Raw genomic sequence first — 17,965 nt, forward strand, 5'->3', positions numbered from 1 at the left:
ACTGAAGCATGGACAGCCATGTAGAAATGTGATTAGATAAAACGGGTGTGATCGAATCCGAGTAGACCGAGCGGGGAAACCTCGCAAGGCCTGTGTGTTCAGACCCTTCTTGGCCTCCTTTGGCTTTCTTTCCTCCAGGGTAGGGGCAGGACCCCTTCTGAAGGGGGGTGTTATGGCCCACAATCAGACAAATTAGGTCAGAAAAATTTTTTATGGCCAGAGGTGGGGGAAGATTTAAGGATATTTTTAGTTTTTAAGGCCTGCCTTGTGGAGAAAGAAGAGCAGGTGAAAGTAGGGCAGAAGGTCAGGGAGAGACTCTTTTTCTGAGGCCTAAAGCTTCCCATCGTTAGAACAAGACCGTAACAAGGGCTGTGGGAGTCATGAGCCAGGAGCCGTGGACAGAGCCCAATGTATACGTATCATAAAATCACAGGGAGGGTTAGGACCCCGGGGCTGCTCCATGCTCCCCCCTTCTGTGTGCCTGGCCCCACAAGGCGCGCCTGTCCCCGCATGGGTGTGCCCTGGATGTCTCTTCCTGTGGACAATGCCTGGCCAGCGTCCCCTGTCTCTGGGGCCTCAAACCAGGAAGTTCCCCGAGGAATGGGTGGATCTCAGGCTTTTCTGTGCCCAAGATCTCTGGGAGAACCGTCTGCTGGCACGGCTTCCCAGGCTCCACTCTCAGGTGTGTCAACCCCGGTGCCCTTGAGCTGAGGCCAGGACAGCACCCCTGCCCAGCCTCTGCCTGTGGCTGACACCACACAAGGGTCATGGGAGCCCCGCCAAGGGCCAAGGAGCTGGAGGGTGGTCCAGGGTGGTGCTCTGGGCCCGAGTGAGACTGTGCTCTTCTGACTCTCTCCGATGGGCCCCAGAGCCCATCACGGTCCCACAGCCAGGTTGCGAGGCACCTAGGATCTAGTCAGCGTTGTGCCAAGCCCCCATCCTCATGCCTCAGCTGCCTGAGTCACTGGGATTACAGTCATGAGCCACCAGGCCCACGCTCTTGTATTTTGACCCCCTTATTTAGGAAACGTTTTCTTGTCTGTCAGAGTGAGGGCAGGTGGTTTGCCCCTGCCGCTTTGCTTTTTTTTTTGGAGACAGAGTCTCACTCTGTTGCCCAGGCTGGAGTACAGTGGTGTGATCTCGGCTCACTGCAACCTCCGCCTCCCGGGTTCAAGTGATTCTCCTGCCTCGGCGTCCCGAGTAGCTTTGATTACAGGTACGTGGCACCACGCCCAGCTAATTTGTTGTATCTTTAGTAGAGTTAGGATTTCACCATGTTGGCCAAGCTGGTCTCAAGCTCCTCACCTTGTGATCTGCCCGCCTCAGCCTCCCAAAGTGCTGGGATTACAGGTGTGAGCCACCTCGCCTGGCCTAGGCATTGCTAATTTTCACACCAGTGATTGCTTTGTGATCCACGTACTCCTCTGGCCAAAAATATTTGAAACGGGGAAAAGGTGTGGTGCGTGACTTAGCTGTCATAGGCACCAGAAGAATTCTCATCCCTTTCCCTTGGGGACGTGGTTTTGAGGAATTATGTAGTAGGGCGAAGAAACCACAACGAGTTGGACTGAAACTTTTTAAATTTTTGGTCTTCCTGGTTGGTGCCGTCCTGCTTGGCAGCTGTTCTGCTGTTTCACACCAAGAAAAGTTGTTTCTGAACTTAGTTTACTTTTTTCCCAAGTTAAAAGTAGCTTATATATTCTGCATTTTGTTAAGGAGCTTGCACTTTATCCAAAGGGCAGGACGAAGCTGATCTGAGACAGGTGTATTAGTTATTTCTTGCTTCCTGACAAGTCACCCCACACTCAGGGGTGTAAACAGTAACATCTGTCAGCTCAGAAAGCCTCTGTGGGTCCGGAGTCTGTGAGTGGCTTGGGCACGCGGACCTGGCCCAGGGTCTCCTGTGAGGTCACAGTGCAGTGTTGGCCAGGCTGTCATCTGAAGGTTGGTGGCTTCAAGATGGCTCCCTGGCAGGGGGTTGGCAGGAGGCCTTGGTTCCTCACCTGGGGGCCTCTCTGTGGGGCAGCTTCAGTGTCGCCCAGCATGACTGTGGCTTCCTCCCAGCAGGGATGGGATTGCACAGCTGGTCGACGGTGGTTGGGAGAGGGAGAAATAGAGGCCCTTGCTCAGGTTTCTGAGTTCAAAACTGTGCTCTCATTTCAGGGGCCAGCAGCCTCCCCCGATGGGTCGTCAGCAACGAGGGTGCCTCAGGATGTGACGCAGGGCCCTGGGGCCACAGGTGGAAAGGAGGACAGTGGGATGATTCCCTTAGGTGAGCTGCTGGCCTCTCTGGTTCTCCCCGCCAGCCCCCAGCACCGGGGAGGGGGTTCAGTGAACGATCCTGGCACCAGGACCCAGGACAAGGACAGACTTGGACCCCAGCCCTTGAGGAGCCCCGGGGTTCGGACCCAAGGGGCGGGCATTGGGGGTATGGGTGGGCCTCGGGGTTGGAGGTTCATCCATCCATCTATCCATCCATGCACCCATCTAGCCATCATCCACCCTCCACCTATCCATTCCTCTATCATATACCCACCCATTCACCCATCCATCCCTCTATCATTCTCCCAGGCATCCATCCATCCTTCACATGTTCCCCCTCACACCAATCCCACCATCCCTCTGTCATCCATCATCATCACCCATCTATCCATGACCCACCCATCCATCCATCTACTCATCCACCCATGCACCCACCCATCCATCATCTGTACATTCATCCACCCATCATCCGTCCATCCATCCACCCATCATCCACCCATGCATTCATCATCTACCCATCCATCACCCATCCGTCCATCTAGTCATCCACCCACCCATCCATCATCTGTACATTCATCCACCCATCATCCACCCATGCATTCATCATCTACCCATCCATCACCCATCCGTCCATCTAGTTATCCACCCACCCATCCATCATCTAGACATTCATCCACCCCTCATCCACCCACGCATTCTTCATCTACCCATCCATCATCTGTACATTCATCCATCCATCATCGGTCCATTCATCACCCATCATCCACCCACGCATTCTTCATCTACCCACGCATTCATCTACCCATCCATCATCCAGCCAGCCATCATCTATTATGTATTGGGCATTGACTGTATGCCAGGCACTACTAGGTACCGGGACACAGGTATGAATAAGAAGCCCACAGCCCAGCCCTCTTCCCACCCCAATGGTTTCTGCCTTTAAGCGTTCCCTCCCTGCCTCCACCCCAGCCTGTGCTGTCCTTGCCCCGCCCTCGTGCCGACCCAGATGCTGACTCTCTTTCTTTTCCCAGCAGGCACCGCCCCTGGGGCTGAGGGGCCGGCGCCTGGGGACTCCCAGGCTGTGCGCCCCTACAAGCAGGAGCCCAGCAGCCCCCCGCTGGCGCCTGGCCTGCCCGCCTTCCTAGCGGCCCCGGGCACCACGTCCTGCCCCGAGTGCGGCAAAACGTCCCTGAAACCAGCTCACCTGCTGCGCCACCGGCAGAGCCACTCGGGCGAGAAGCCGCACGCCTGCCCTGAGTGCGGGAAGGCCTTTCGGCGCAAGGAGCACCTGCGGCGCCACCGCGACACGCACCCCGGCAGCCCCGGCAGCCCCGGGCCCGCGCTGCGCCCTCTGCCCGCCCGTGAGAAGCCCCACGCGTGCTGCGAGTGTGGCAAGACCTTCTACTGGCGCGAGCACCTGGTGCGCCACCGCAAGACGCACTCGGGAGCGCGGCCCTTTGCCTGCTGGGAGTGTGGCAAGGGCTTCGGGCGCCGCGAGCACGTGCTGCGCCACCAGCGCATCCACGGCCGGGCAGCGGCCAGCGCGCAGGGGGCGGTAGCTCCGGGCCCGGATGGTGGAGGCCCCTTCCCGCCCTGGCCCTTGGGTTAGCCGCCTCCCGGCCAGCGCCATCTCCCGCCCTTGGTGCTGCCCCCGGGCGGTACCTGCTCTCTCCCAGCGCCACTTGGCCTCTTCCTCTCCTCCTTCCCTCCCATCGTCCTCCTCCACCTGCGCCTCCCTTGTCTGAACTTCCCAACGCCTTCCTATTCCTTTCCAACTCCTTTTCCCCCAAATTTCACTTTCCTTCTCAGGTCTCACCTCAGCCCCCCCCTTCTCCCTGATTTCTCGGCCTCTCTCTCTGTGTGAAGGGGCCTCTCCCTAATGTCTCCTCCTTCCCCCCTCTTCTCTCTCCTGCGGCCCAGCCTCCCTCTCCCTCCTCCATTCCTCTCTCCCTGCCCTTTTCCTGCCTGAAGAGCAGAGGTGAGGACCTGGGACCCCTGAGGGGCAGGCCAGGAGGAGCTCGGGCGCAGGCCAGGCCCCCTTGGTGAAGCAGAGGCTGAAGGAAAGGGGTCTGGGTCTTGTCCCTAGGAATTCTCCTCCCTCAGGAGATTGGGGGTTGGGGGAGGCAGCGGGTGATGGCTCTGAAGCTGAACCCAGGGCCTGGCTGTGGTCTTCTTGGTCTTGCTGCCCCCTGTGACCCAAAGGCATGGGATGGACAGAGATGCCTGCCCCCGTGAAGCTGGTTGGGGAGGGCAGTTCACCAGCATCCATAGAGTAATAAAGTCACTGTGTGTAGACCCGGAGTCTGAGCTCTGTCTGGAGTCTGTCCGGCACAGCCACCCTCCCAGGGCCGAGCGTCTGGGGTGCCCGGGGCTTCTGGGGTCAGCTGTCTTGGCTCCCACCACAGACTCTCTTGGCATGAGAGAGGCTCTGGGAGTCTGGGCACAGCTGTGGGAGGCAGTGCAGGAAATGTGTCCTCAGGAGGGCTGTCCCCACCTCCATCCTACGGAGGCAGGGATGAGGCTCCTGGAAGGGACCTGCCGAGTGCCACACTGAGTCAGGTTCGCATCTGAGCCCTTCAGCTTCCTGGCTGGGAACCTACAGGTTGGTCATACCCTCTGGGCATGAGTTCCACATCCGCAAGTGATGATAATGGCACCCACCTCCCTTGCTAAGGCCACTCTGTTTGACTGGGGTCCTGAGTGTCAGTGTTGGTAGGTCTTGGGTGGCCCATTCTGCCACGCAAGGAATTCTCTCACCTTTAGCTGGAGCCATTGGCCGAGGGGGGGACTCCGTATGGAGGGCAGGCTTTGGCCAGCTGCATCTTTCCAGGATGCCACCTCTTGTCAGCTCAGCGAGCAACCCCGGTTCCTTCTCTCCAGAGAGGAAATCTGTAGCCTCTGCCGGGTGGATGAAGGGCAGTTGCCGGGCTTTGGAAAGCGTAGGATGAGAGCGCTGGTCTGACCACTCCCCTGCCGCCCAGTCTTGGGGCTGGCTTCACCCTGGTCCTTTTGGTTCCTGTGTGCCCAGCGCCTGAGCCTGGGAGGGGTTCTATGTCAAACCCTCCATGGTTGCCGCCTTGTGGCTGAGCCCGCCACGGTACCACCTTGCGTCCAAGCCCCCCCACGGTCACTGCCTTGCTCTCTGCTTCAGCTTCTGGCTCAGTGTCAAGGGCTGGGGCAGGTACAGCCTGTGCCGGGCTGCGAGGGCATCTGGAAACAGCCACCTGGACGGTCCAGTGCACATCACTGGAGTCTAGGTCTGCCTTCAAGACTCAACAGTGCAGGGAAGGGTTTAGGTGCCAGGCTATCCAGGAAGGGCAAGTGACCACAGGCCTCAGCACCCACCTCCTAAGACAGGACTGGTAGTAATGCCCCTCCTGAAAAGGGACTGTTTTTGAAAATTAAATAAGGCTGGGTGCAGTGGCTCATACCTGTAATCGCAACACTTTAGGAGGCTCGGGTGGGTGGATCACTTGAGCTCAGGAGTTCAAGACCAGCTCGGCTAACATGCTGAAACCCCGACTCTACTGAAAACACAAAAATTAGCCAGGCATGATGGTGGACACCTGTAATCCCAGCTACTCCGGAGGCTGAGGTGGGAGGATCACTTGAACCCAGGAGGCAGAGGTTGCAGTGAGCTGAGATCGCACCACTGCCCTACTCCAGCCTGGGCAACAGAGCGAGACTTCGTCTCAAAAGAAAAATAAGGTAATGAATGCAGAATACTTACGGGAACTTGGTGTGTGATCTCAGCCTGCTGCTTTCACACTGACAGGTGCATGTTAAGGACGTTACCATGCCCACCGTGTGGGGAAGAAGACGGGCTGGGAGAAGCCGTGTCGTCTGCTGCAGACTTTCAGGAAGTGACTAAGAGGCATGAGAGGGAGTATGAGGTGGTGTCAGGCCAGGGTCTGAGGACAGGGTTCTGATAACAGCAAACACAGAGTGAGTCTGCTGGGCCAGACCTTTTTAAAATCCAGTTTGTTTATCATCATAACCAACCGATGAGGCATGCACTGTTGTTATCCCCATGGTACAGATGGGGAAACTGAGGCACCAAAAGAGTAAGGGACCGGGCCACATCTGTGGATCTCATCCCAGGTGTCTGGGCTCACAGTATTCACTCCAGCTCCTAACAGCACAGCTGCTGCTTTTGCCCATTCAGGCTCCATCTCTTCTCTTCTGAAAAGCCTCCCGGGACTTCTGTGCCCCTTTGGGGACCCCTCCAACACACACACACACACACACACACACACACACACACCCCGTGTCTGGTCTCGGAGGGACAGTCGGCCAGGCTGTCCTGCCCCACTCTTTTGTGTCACTCAAGATGGACAGTCCCGGATGGATTGGAGGATGCTGGAAGAACACCCCTGCAAAGGACTAGAAACAAGGCGAGACCAGATAGATGGAGATCTGACTCCCGCACCCTCCTGCACCCACACCTGCTAAGCCTGGGGGAGCTTTGGTTTGACATCCGATGACGAGTGGTGTCTGCCTCCGAGGCTGTATAACGGAGTGGAGGATGATCCCCCCCAAACAGGAGGGAAATTCTGGAAGGCCGAAACAAAACTTGAATATTCTCCGCATGGGCAACAGAAAACTTTCCAGAGAGACAACCTAGCAGTCCTTCCTCAGAGTGGGCGGTACTTCCACGAGAGTGCGCAGCCTTTCCTCAGACTGCGCAGTCCTTCCTCAGAGTGCACGGTCCTTCCTCAGAGTGGGCGGTACTTCCACAAGAGTGCTCAGCCCTTCCTCAGACTGCGCAGTCCTTCCTCAGAGTGCACAGTCCTTTCTCGGAGTGTGCAGGCCCCAGCCAGACAGACTGGCACAGGTGCATCCGCAGAAGGTCCTGCATAGCGCTGTTCCTCATGGTGCTGCTTGGGATGGCAGAGAATCAGAGCAACGTAAATGTCCGTTACTAGGAGAGGGGGAACGAAGAAACATTGTTCAGGAAAAGTACCGAAACGTGGAAGTAGGCAAAATGTCAATTGTGCAGCCTTCTAAAATCATGCTCAATTGTCTTAAAAATAGTCCTGCCTGGGCCGGGCACTGTAATCCCAGCACTTTGGGAGGCCGAGGTGGGTGCATCACTTGAGGTCAGGAGCTCGAGACCATCCTGGTTAACATGGTGAAACCCCTTCTCTACTAAAAAAAAAATACAAAAATTAGCCGGGTGTGGTGGCGAGCACCTGTAATCCCAGCTACTTGGGAGGCTGAGGCAGGAAGATGGCTTGAACCTGGGAGGTGGAGGTTGCAGTGAGCTGAGATCGCACCACTGCACTCCAGCCTGGATGAAAGAGCGAGACTCCGTCTCAAAAAAAAAAAAAAAAAAAAGGAAAGAATAGTAAGGAAATAAACCCAACAGCTCTCCCCACCAATATCCACTCTGATGGAGCAGGTGCCATGAGGGCTGTCCTGTGACTGATACCCACCATGTCTGTTGGACACTATCACATCTACGATCTTTATCCATCAACCCCAATACCACAGACCAGAGAACATCTGAATTGTGGTTTTGGATGCTGGCCTTGACTTTCTTGCTTCCGTCTTTATTGCTTGAGGGGTGAGATTGTTTTAAGAACCTGCTGGTGGCATGAGGTGATTTTTTTTTCTGCTTCCTCTCCTGGGGGCCCTGGCACCAGGGGCTCTGCCAGGACCCAGCAGGGGTTAGTTAATTCTACTCAATTTCCCTGGGTGACTGCCCCTCCCCTCACCCCTTCCTCTCCCCTGCTAAAGGGTTCCGGCTCTGGGGTTCCATACACCAGGTTCAAACCTCAACTCTGCTTCTTCCTTGCTGTGGGAGGAGGTCGATGATAGGAGTATCCTGGTCCAAGCCGCTCCAGTCCTGGTCTCTCTCACAGGTGATTGCTAACTGGGTCCCCAATCCATAAAAGTTAGCTGGGTGTGGTGGCACATGTCTGTAATCCCAGCTGCTCAGGAGGCTTGAGTCAGGAGAATCGCTTGAACCCGGGAGGTGGAGGTTGCAGTGAGCCAAGATTGCACCACTGCACTCCAACCTGGGCGATAGAGTGAGATCCTGTCTCAAAAAAAAAAAAAAAAAACAACTAGAAGTTTCCTGATGGGGTGGTCCCTGTCTACCTCGTACCCTCCACCCTCCCCAGTTAGTCTGCATTCCAGGTCCAGCTCATCACCCAGTTCCTTCAGCCCTTCCTTCCTCCACCCCACTACAGGACTTTTGCACAGGCCATTGGCTCCACATATTAATAAAATGTTGTTCTTTCTTCCTGCATTTGCCTAGTGAACACAAGAGCAAAACTCCATCTCAAAAAAAAAATAAATAAAAAATAAATAAAATAAGGGCATGAATCCCATTCACAAGGATGAAGCCCTCATGATGTGATCATGTCCCAAAAGTCCTACCTATTTACTATCTATTGTCTATCTATCTATCTATCTATCTATCTATCTATCTATCTATCGTTATATCTCCATCTGTCCATCCATCCATCCATCCCTAGACTGCTCAACAGACACGCTACCTCTTAATATTCTCACGTTGGGTATTAGTTTTCATCATATGAATCTTCAGGGGACTCTAACATTCAATCCATAACATGGGGGTTACAGTGAGGGCTAAATGGGGGGAGTCCACAAGTCATGCTCACGCCTGTAATCCCAGTGCTTAGGAGGCCGCTGCAGGCTGATCACTTGAGGTCAGGAGTTTGAGGCCAGCCAGGCCAACATGGTAAAACCTCATATCTACTAAAAATACAAAAATTAGCTGGTGTGGTGGTGCTCAACTGTAGTCTCAGCTACTAAGAAGGCCGAGGCAGGAGAATGGCTTGAACCCGGGAGGCGGAGGTTGCTGTGAGCCAAGATGGCACCACTACACTCCAGGCTTGGGTGACACACAGCAAGACTCCATCTCAAAAAAAAAGAAAAGAAAAGAAAAAGAAAAAAAAGAAAAGTTCCGGGCGTATTGGCTCACGCCTGTAATCCCAGCACTTTGGGAGGCCAAGGGGGGCAGGTCACTTGAGATCAAGAGCTCTAGACCAGCCTAACAAACATGGTGAAACCCTGTCTTTACTAGAAATACAAAAATTAGCCGGGCATGGTGGCGGGCGCCTGTAATCCCAGCTACTCGGGAGGCTGAGGCAGGAGAATCACTTGAACCGGGAAGCTGAGATTACAGTGAGCCAAGATCACGCCACTGCACTCCAGCCCGGGCAACACAGCCAGACTCTGTCTCAAAAAAAAACAATAAAAAAAAACCCCAAAAAATCATTAAATATTCACGATTTTGGGGGGGCAGTGGTGAGCCAGTTGTTAAACTGTTGGTATGTTGAAATTGGCCCTAATGGAATATTTACACTATGGGAATTGGCTAACAGTACAAATGCAGGCATTTATTTTATTTTATTTTAAAAAGCTGACATTGGCTGGGTGAGGTGGCTCACACCTGTAATCCCAGCACTTTGGGAGGCTGAGGTGGATGGATCATCTGAGACTGGGAGTTCGAGACCAGCCTGACCAACGTGGAGAAACCCCATCTCTACTAAAAACACAAAATTAGCCAGGTGTGGTGGTACATGCCTGCAATCCCCAGCTACTTGGGAGGCTGAGGCGGGAGAATCGCTTGAACCTGGGAGGCAGAGGTTGCAGTGAGCCGAGATCGCGCCATTACACTACAGTTACTTGAATGACAGTGACTCTGTCTCAGAAAACAAACAAACAAACAAATAGAAAAACACAGAAATCTAGATCTTTATGTAAAAGTTTTGAAACCCTATATGCTCGTGATTCGATTTGCAATTTTCAAAACACTGTGTGGAAGTTTAGCCCAGTGTGGCAAGCACACGCCTGTAGTCCCAGCTACCCAGGAGGCTGAGGTTGGAGGATTGTTTGAGCCTGGGCAGTCAAGGCTGCAGTGAACCAAGATAGTGCCACCGCACTCCAGCCTGAGCAACAGAGCGAGACCCCATCTCAATAAAAATAAAATAAAATAAATAAATAAATAAAGCAAGCAAGCAAGCACTGTGTGAGCTACAATATGAAGGAACCAAAACAAACAAAAATCATAATGCAAACAAACAAACCCAAAGCACGTCTGAGGGTCTGGTTTTGGCTGCCCGTTTGCAAGTTCTGAGCTGGTTCCTCAGTTTACCAAAGAGGAGATGGAGGCCCAGAAGTCTGTAGTGAATTCCCTGCAGCCCCATAGCGGGCCAGTGAAATGTGAGGTTGTTTCCTCATTGCTCTGAGAGTTGGCATTGAGTGAAGATGAGTCCCCAACCCCTCCTCTCTGGGGGATGAAGTGGTAGAAATGGCTGGCAGGGAGGCTGAGGTTGGAGCAACACTGACCTTTGGAATTATGGGCAGGAAATGTGTGGGGCTTTTTTTTTTTTTTAGATGAAGTCTTGCTCTGTCCCCCAGGTTGGAGTTCAATGGTACAACCTCAGCTCCCTACAACCTCTGCCTTCCAGTTTCAAGCAATTCTCCTGCCTCAGCCTCCTGAGCAGCTGGAATTACAGGCATCCACCACCATTCCCAGCTAATTTTTATATTTTTAGTAGAGACAGGGTCTCACCATGTTGGCCAGGCTGGTCTTGAACTCCTGACCTCAAGTGATCCTCCCGCCTTGGCCTCTGAAAGTGCTGGGGTTAAAGACATGAGCCACCACGCCTGGCCCGGGGTCTTAATCCTAACTAAATACCCAACCTTAAGCAACAGCATACCCATGTCCTTTAGAGGGTTAACTGTAACCCCTTAATTTGGGTTCATGGTAAGGAAGAACTGATCCAGGGAGACGATGGAATATTCAGCACAATGGACAGAGACATTTCCTCCAAGCTGAGTTAGGGGAAAGAAAGGTGCAGACTTCCCCGCCCCCAGTGCTGACCTCCCATCTCAGGTGGGGAAGAGAAATAAAGCTTTTGTACACGTTTTTTTTGTTTTGTTTTGTTTTGAGATAGAGTCTTTCTCTGTCGCTCAGGCTGGAGTGCAATGGTGAGATCTTGGCTCACTGCAACCTCTGTCTCCCTGGTTCAAGCGATTCTCCTGCCTCAGCCTCCTGAGTAGCTGGGATTACAGGTTTGTGCCACCATGCCCGGCTAATTTTTGTATTTTTAGTAGAGACAGGGTTTCACCATGTTGGCCAGGCTGGTCTCGAACTCCTGACCTCTTGATCCGCCCGCCTCGGCCTCCCAAAGTGCTGGGATTACAGGCGTGAGCCGCCGCGCCCGGCCCTGTACGGATTGCTTTTAACTTGCACAAGGACTATCCCCTCCCACTTTTCATTGTTTCGTTTAGTGTATAGATGGGGAATTCTTTGGTGAGATGCAAAGACAAATATAGGTTTACATTTTGACATCTTAGGAGTTTTTTGTTTTTGTTTTTCTGAGACAGGATCTCCCTCTGTCTCCCAGACTGGAGTGCAGTGGTGGCATCAAGGCTCACTGTAGCCTCAACCTCCCAGGCTCAAGCGATCCTCCCACCTCAGCCTCTGGAGTAGCTGGGACTACGGGCACATGTCACTACACACAACTAATTTTTGTATTTTTTTGTACATGGGGTCTCGCTAGGTTGCCAAGGCTGGTCTCAAACTCCTGAGCTCAGGCAATTTGCCTGCCTTGAACTCCCAAAGTGCTGGGATTACAGGTGTGGACCACTGCACCTGGCTGTTTTTTATGAATGGCGAACTGCTGGATGACACAGAATGTGGGCATGGATTTTTAAAGCCTGCCTAGCTCACAAGGGGTAAAATGTGTCTATTTAGGAAGATATGCCCATTGACATCTGAACACCGAAAAACACCTCCATGCTGTAGCCCTTCCTCAAACCATTATGATACCCAGAGTTATTAAGAAAGATGCAGCCTCCCACAGTTACATCAACATCCTACTCCAACTTTCCATGGAGCTCATTTTATTTTACTTTTCATTTTTTCCAAACCTACTGTGTTGCAGGTTCTTTTTTTTTTTTTTTTTTTTTTGCGACGGAGTCTCACTCTGTTGCCCAGGCTGGAGTGCTGTGGCATGATCTCGGCTCACTGCAACCTCCGCCTCCTGGGTTCAAGCTATTCTCCTGCCTCAGCCTCCCAAGTAGCTGGAATTACAGATGTGCCACCATGCCCGGTTAATTTTTTTTATTTTTAGTAGAGATGAGGGTTCGCCATGTTGAGCAGGCTAGTCCCGAACTCCTGACCTCAAGTGATCCCACGCCTCGGCCTCCCAAAGTACTGGGATTACAGGTATGAGCCTCTGCACCCCATGAGAGTAGATTTTAAATGCTTTCAGTACAAAACGATGTCTACGAGCTGGTGGATGTGTTAATTAGCCCAATTTAATAATTTTACAGTGTATACATAGATCAAAACATTATGCTGTATGCCATAAATAGATTCAATTTGTATTTGTAAATTTAAAAAAATTTTAAGAAAAAAATAAGCAAATACATAAATAAGTAAATAGACATATTTTTAAATGGTGGTCATAATAAATGTCCCTGAGAAGAGGATAGGAAGTCATCCACACGTAGCTGGCAAGAACATTCCAGGCAGAGACAATGGCAGAATGCACTCTCTTTTCCCACTCTTGTCAACATTCTACCTGCTTTTCAATTTAACTAATATCATCTGTGCACCTACAGAAAAAACAAAAGCCAGCTGGGCACGGTGGCTCACACCTGTAATCCCAGCACTTTGGGAGGCCGAGGCAGGTGGATCACGAGGTCAGGAAATCAAGACCATCCTGGCTAACACGGTGAAACCCCGTCTCTACTAGAAATACAAAAAAAAATTAGCCGGGCGCCGTGGCGGGCACCAGTAGTCCCAGCTACTCAGGAGGCTGAGGCAGGAGAATGGCGTGAACCCGGGAAGCAGAACTTGCAGTGAGTTGAGATCGTGCCACTGCAGTCCAGCCTAGGAGAAAGAGTGAGACTCCATCTCAAAAAAAAAAAAAAGAAAAAACAAAAGCCAGCTGGGCACAGTGGCTCACACCTGTAATCCCAGCACTTTGGGAGGCCAAGGCTGGCGGATCACCTGAGGTCAGGAGTTTGAGACCAGCATGGTCACCATGGTGAAAGCCTGTCTCTACTAAAAATACAAAAATTAGCCAGGCGTGGTGGTGCACACCTGTTATCCCAGCTACTCGGGAGGCTGAGGCACAGGAATCGCTTGAACCTGGGAGGTGGGGGTTGCAGTGAGCCGAGATCGAGCCACTGCACTCCCAGCCTGGGCGACAGTGTGAAACTGTGTCTCAAAAAAAGAAAAAAAAAAAAGAAAAAGAAAAAACAAAAGCCATAAAGATACAACTCAGGCTGGGCGCGGTGGCTCATGCCTGTAATGCCAGCACTTTGGGAGGCCGAGGCAGACGGATCATGAGGTCAGGAGATCAAGACCATCCTGGCTAACATGGTGAAAAACCCTGTCTCTATTACACACACACACACACAATTAGCCAGGCGTGGTGGTGGGTGCCTGTAGTCCCAGCTACTCGGGAGGCCGAGGCAGGAGAATTACTTGAACTCGGGAGGCAGGTGTTGCAGTGAGCCGAGATCCAGCCATTGCACTCCCAGCCTGGGCAACAGAGTGAAACTGTGTCTCAAGAAAAAAAAAAAAAGAGAAGAAGAAGAAAGAAAAAACAAAAGCCAGAAAGACACAACTCAGCCCACCAACATGGGAGAGCATGTCATTTCCCACCTGGGCGCCTCCGGTGTACACTGTTTCCCGCTTTCCTTCTGATTCAAGGTCACGGGAGGCTGCTGGCTGCTTCTGCACTCTTGTTTTTGTAACTGGATGTCCGGGACCTTTGGAAGGCGAAGGCACCTGCTTATTTCATCTCCTCCCCACCGTTGTCATGGGCCAAACTCCAGGATGTCCTTCCGCCCTGGTTAGCTCCCGCCATGAGTCAGCCCTCTCCTCTCCACGTGCCCCCACTTGAACCACTCCTGTGAATGCAGCGTCAGCATCGATGATGTATTTCACATGCAGCTCTCAGCTTTGGACATTGCGTTGGCTCCCCTTCACTCTGACTCACCTTGACTCTGCACAGAAATGCTCCTGGGAGAGAACGCTGACACTTCTCTTCCTGACTGCAGATTCCCGTCCTGTGGCCGCTTCCACATCTGAATCTTTCCAATAGTGGGATTTTCAGCCTCACCCACCCATGCCTCTTTGAAAAGCTAAGAATGCAACCCCTCTTGTTCAATAATTCAGTTAGGTGTTTCTAGCACATGACCAATACTTAGGTCTTTTCCAGCCCCTCCCATGAACTTTCCCTAAAAAATGTAACTTTCTCAAGTAAAATGGGAATCTTTCTGTGGTGCTGGTGGGACTGAAAACTGGTATGTGATTGTCGAAAGGCAATCTGGATGTGTATACTAAGAATCCCAGAGGCTGGGCGTGGTGGCTCACACCTGTAATCCCAGCATTTTGAGAGGCCGAGGCAGGTGCATCACCTGAGGTCAGGAGTTCAAGACCAGCCTGGCCAACATGGTGAAACCCCATCTCTACTAAAATACAAACAAATTAGCTGGGCATGGTGGCAGGTGCCTGTAATCCCAGCTACTCAGGAGGCTGAGGCAGGAGAATTGCTTGAACCTGGGAGGCAGAGGTTGCAGTGAGCTGAGATTGTACCATTGTACTCCAGCCTAGGGAACAGAGCAAGACTCCGTCTGAAAAAAAAAAAAAAAAAAAGAATCCCAGAATGGTTATACCTTTTGACTGAGTTGCTTTTCTTCTAGGACTTAAACCTAAAGGATTCGTCAGAAATTTGTAGGAATGGCACTAAAAAGGAGTGAACTGTTGACACACACCACAGCGTGGATGAATCTCATGCACTAAGTAAAAGAAGTCAGACTGAAAAGGCTGCACACTGTAGGATCCAGTTTGTATAACATTCTGGTAAAAGCAAAACTTTGTTTTTATTTTATTTTTACTTTTGAGATGGAGTCTCGCTCTGTCACCCAGGCTGGAATGCAGTGGCATGATCTCGGCTCACTGCAATCTCCACCTCCTGGGTTCAAGCGATTCTTCTGCCTCAGCCTCCCAAGTAGCTGGGATTACAGGTGCACACCACCACGCCCAGCTAATTTTTGTATTTTTAGTAGAGACGGGGCTTCACCATGTTGGCCAGGCTGGTCTTGAACTCCTGACCTCAGGTGGTCCACTCGCCTTGGCCTCCCAAAGTGCTGGGGTTACAGGCGTGAGCCACCGTGTCTGGCCTATCACAAACATTTTTTAAATAACAAATTAGAAAAACACAACCACAAGGAAACTGTGGGATGTGGTGATGGTGTCAGGGACGTTTGTGTCCACACTCGTCACATGGTAACATTACGTGCGTTTTTGGTACACCAATTATACCTCAATAATGTGGTTTTGAAAATAAATCTAACTCAAATGGCTTAAGTGTGGCAGGGAGCAGGAAGCGCAGAGGTGGGGGCCGCCAGGCTCCCAGGCCCAGCTCCCGGTGTTTCCCAATGCCTGGGGCTCAGCTGCGGCCTGGGCTTTACGCCCCCTCCTGGCGACAGAAGACATAGCGGCTCCCCGACTTCAGGCTTCTCCCACAACATCCAGGAAGGGAGGAAGAGAGAGGAGGGGGAGAAGGAATGGGGGCAAAGGGAGAGGGGAAGCGGGAGACAGACCAGAGAAATGAAATGTGGTGAAATGTAAGCATTTGGAAAATCAGAGTATCTGGGAATTCTTTGGGCAACTTTCCTGTAAGTCTGAAATTACTTCAAAATTAAAAAAAAAATTAAGGGTTGGGCGCAGTGGCTCACACCTGTAATCCCAGCATTTTGGGAGGCCGAAGCTGGAGGATCACCTGAGGTCAGGAGTTCAAGACCAGCCTGACCAACATGGTGAAACCCTGTCTCTACTAAAATATAAAAATTAGCCGGCCATGATGGTGGGTGCCTGTAATCCCAGCTACTCGGGAGGGTGAGACGGGAAAATCGTTTGAACCCGGGAGGTGGAGGTTGCAGTGAGCTGAGATCACACCACTGCACTCCCGCCTGGGCAGCTGAGCAAGACTCCGTCTCAAAAAAAAAAAAAAAAATTAAGGGCCAGGTGCGGTGGCTCATGCCTGTAATCCTAGTACTTTGGGAGGTCTCGACAGGAAGATCACTTGAGTCCAGGAGTTCTAGACCAGCCTGGGAAACATAGCAAGACTCGATCTCTATAAACAAACAGAAAAACAAAAATTAACCGGTTGTGGTGGCACATGCCGGCAGTACCAGTTACTCGGGAGGCTGAGGTGGGAGGATTGCTTGAGCCCAGGAGGTCGAGGCTGCAGTGAGTTATGATTGTGCCACTGCACTCCAGACTGGGTGGCAGAACAGGACCCTGTCTCAAAAAAAAAAAAAAAAAGAATAAATTTTTAAAATAAATAAAAACAAAAAGTAAAAAAATTGAAAGGAAACTCCAAGGGGAAAAAATAAGTTTAAAAAGAACAAGGAGGCCAGGCACGGTGGCTCATGCCTGTAATCCCAGAACTTTGGGAGGCCAAGGTGGGAGGATCGCTTGAGGTCAGTAGTTCCAGACCAGTCTGGCTAACATGGTGAAACCGTGTCTCTACTAAAAATACAAAAATCAGCTGGATGTGGCGGCACACGCCTGTAGTTCCAGCTACTTGGGAGGCTGAGGCAGGAGTATCGCTTGAACCTGGGAGGCAGAGGTTGCAGTGAGACTCCATCTTAAAAATAAACAAATAAATAAAAGAGCAAGGAAGCTTTGTTTTTAGTTTCTTTTCAGAAGTTCCCCAGCAAATGTCTTTTCTACTCTCCCTGGCTGGAATGGATTGTACACAGGAACCTGGTACATGTGGGCGCCAAGGTACCTACCCACACTGAAGGAAAGAGAGAGGGAAGGATCTGTTCAGATCCCAGTCTCCTTCTCACCCCTAGGCCAGGCATAGAGTCCACACCCTCATGGCATGTGGGGCGCCTGGAGGAGCTGCAGGCATTTAACTAAAAGCCAGCCAGATTCATCTCCAGCCAGAGCCAGGTGGATGCTGGGTCAGAAACTGCAGCGTCCTCTGAAGGAAAGGGTGCTCGTGTCTGTAGCTTGCATTTACTAAGAGGGACACAGACTCAGTTACAGAAATGAGAAGAAAGATGGCCGGGTGAGGTGGCTCACACCTGTAATACCAGCATTTTGGGAGGCCGAGGAGGGCAAATCACCTGAGGTCAGGAATTCGAGACCAGTCTGAACAACATGGTGAAACCCCATCTCTACTAAAAATACAAAATTAGCCAGGCTTGGTGGCACACACCTGTAGTCCTAGCTACTGGGGAGGCTGAGGCAGGAGTATTGCTTGAACCCAGGAGGTGGAGGCTACAGTGACAAGAGATTGTGCCACTGCACTCCAGCCTGGGTGACGGAGTGAGACTCCATCTCAATAAAAAAAAAAAAAAGAAAGAAATGAGAAGAAAGTGACATTGTGACATTTCTTGCACCACATTTGAGTTTTGCGTGTGTGTGTGTGTGTGTGTGTGTGTGTGTGTGTGTAAGAGAGATAGAGCAAGCTTTGGACCTACCCCGTTTACTTTTCACAAACTAGCTAATGGGCAGTGAGGCAAGGACTTCCCACTGTTTCTCTGACCCTCCATTGGGCTCCAGGTAACCCAGCTTCAAGCTCTCAGCGTCGCCTCCTCAGTCCTGTCTCCCGTGCAGTGGGCGTCACTCCCTCCTCCTTTCTCCTTCCCAGCAAAGCCATTCACACCTTCTTGTCAGTTTGTCTTC

The 17,965-nt window shown here is 51.8% G+C and overlaps 1 protein-coding gene across 18 annotated transcripts in view, besides 3 other annotated features; it reads left to right on the top strand.

Moving 5' to 3' along the window:
* The window catches only part of ZNF444 (zinc finger protein 444), a 28,341-nt gene extending 23,778 nt beyond the window's left edge, over nucleotides 1-4,563 (top strand). For 13 of the 18 annotated variants that reach the window (XM_024451575.2, XM_005259035.2, XM_005259034.3 and 10 more), the window contains 2 exons: nucleotides 2,164-2,272; nucleotides 3,294-4,563. In XM_024451575.2, the coding sequence (XP_024307343.1) occupies nucleotides 2,164-2,272; nucleotides 3,294-3,871 (687 nt within the window). In that variant the 3' untranslated portion in view covers nucleotides 3,872-4,563. The remainder of the gene's footprint in view (nucleotides 1-2,163; nucleotides 2,273-3,293) is intronic. The other 5 variants (XM_047439042.1, NM_001253792.2, XM_047439041.1 and 2 more) reach the window with 1 other exon arrangement.
* Nucleotides 6,115-6,214: an enhancer, noted in NCBI's record as "active region_15116". NCBI's record gives its function as "activates an Ori minimal core promoter by ATAC-STARR-seq in GM12878 lymphoblastoid cells {active_cell/tissue: GM12878}" and the evidence as "EXISTENCE:reporter gene assay evidence [ECO:0000049][PMID:35858748]".
* Nucleotides 10,937-11,137: a silencer, noted in NCBI's record as "peak3570 fragment used in MPRA reporter construct". NCBI's record gives its function as "represses an SCP1 promoter by STARR-seq MPRAs in K562 erythroleukemia cells {active_cell/tissue: K562}" and the evidence as "EXISTENCE:reporter gene assay evidence [ECO:0000049][PMID:32103011]".
* Nucleotides 15,633-15,762: an enhancer, noted in NCBI's record as "active region_15117". NCBI's record gives its function as "activates an Ori minimal core promoter by ATAC-STARR-seq in GM12878 lymphoblastoid cells {active_cell/tissue: GM12878}" and the evidence as "EXISTENCE:reporter gene assay evidence [ECO:0000049][PMID:35858748]".

The sequence above is a fragment of the Homo sapiens genome, chromosome 19 (assembly GCF_000001405.40).
Source record: "Homo sapiens chromosome 19, GRCh38.p14 Primary Assembly".
Classification (NCBI taxonomy): Eukaryota; Metazoa; Chordata; class Mammalia; order Primates; family Hominidae; genus Homo; species Homo sapiens.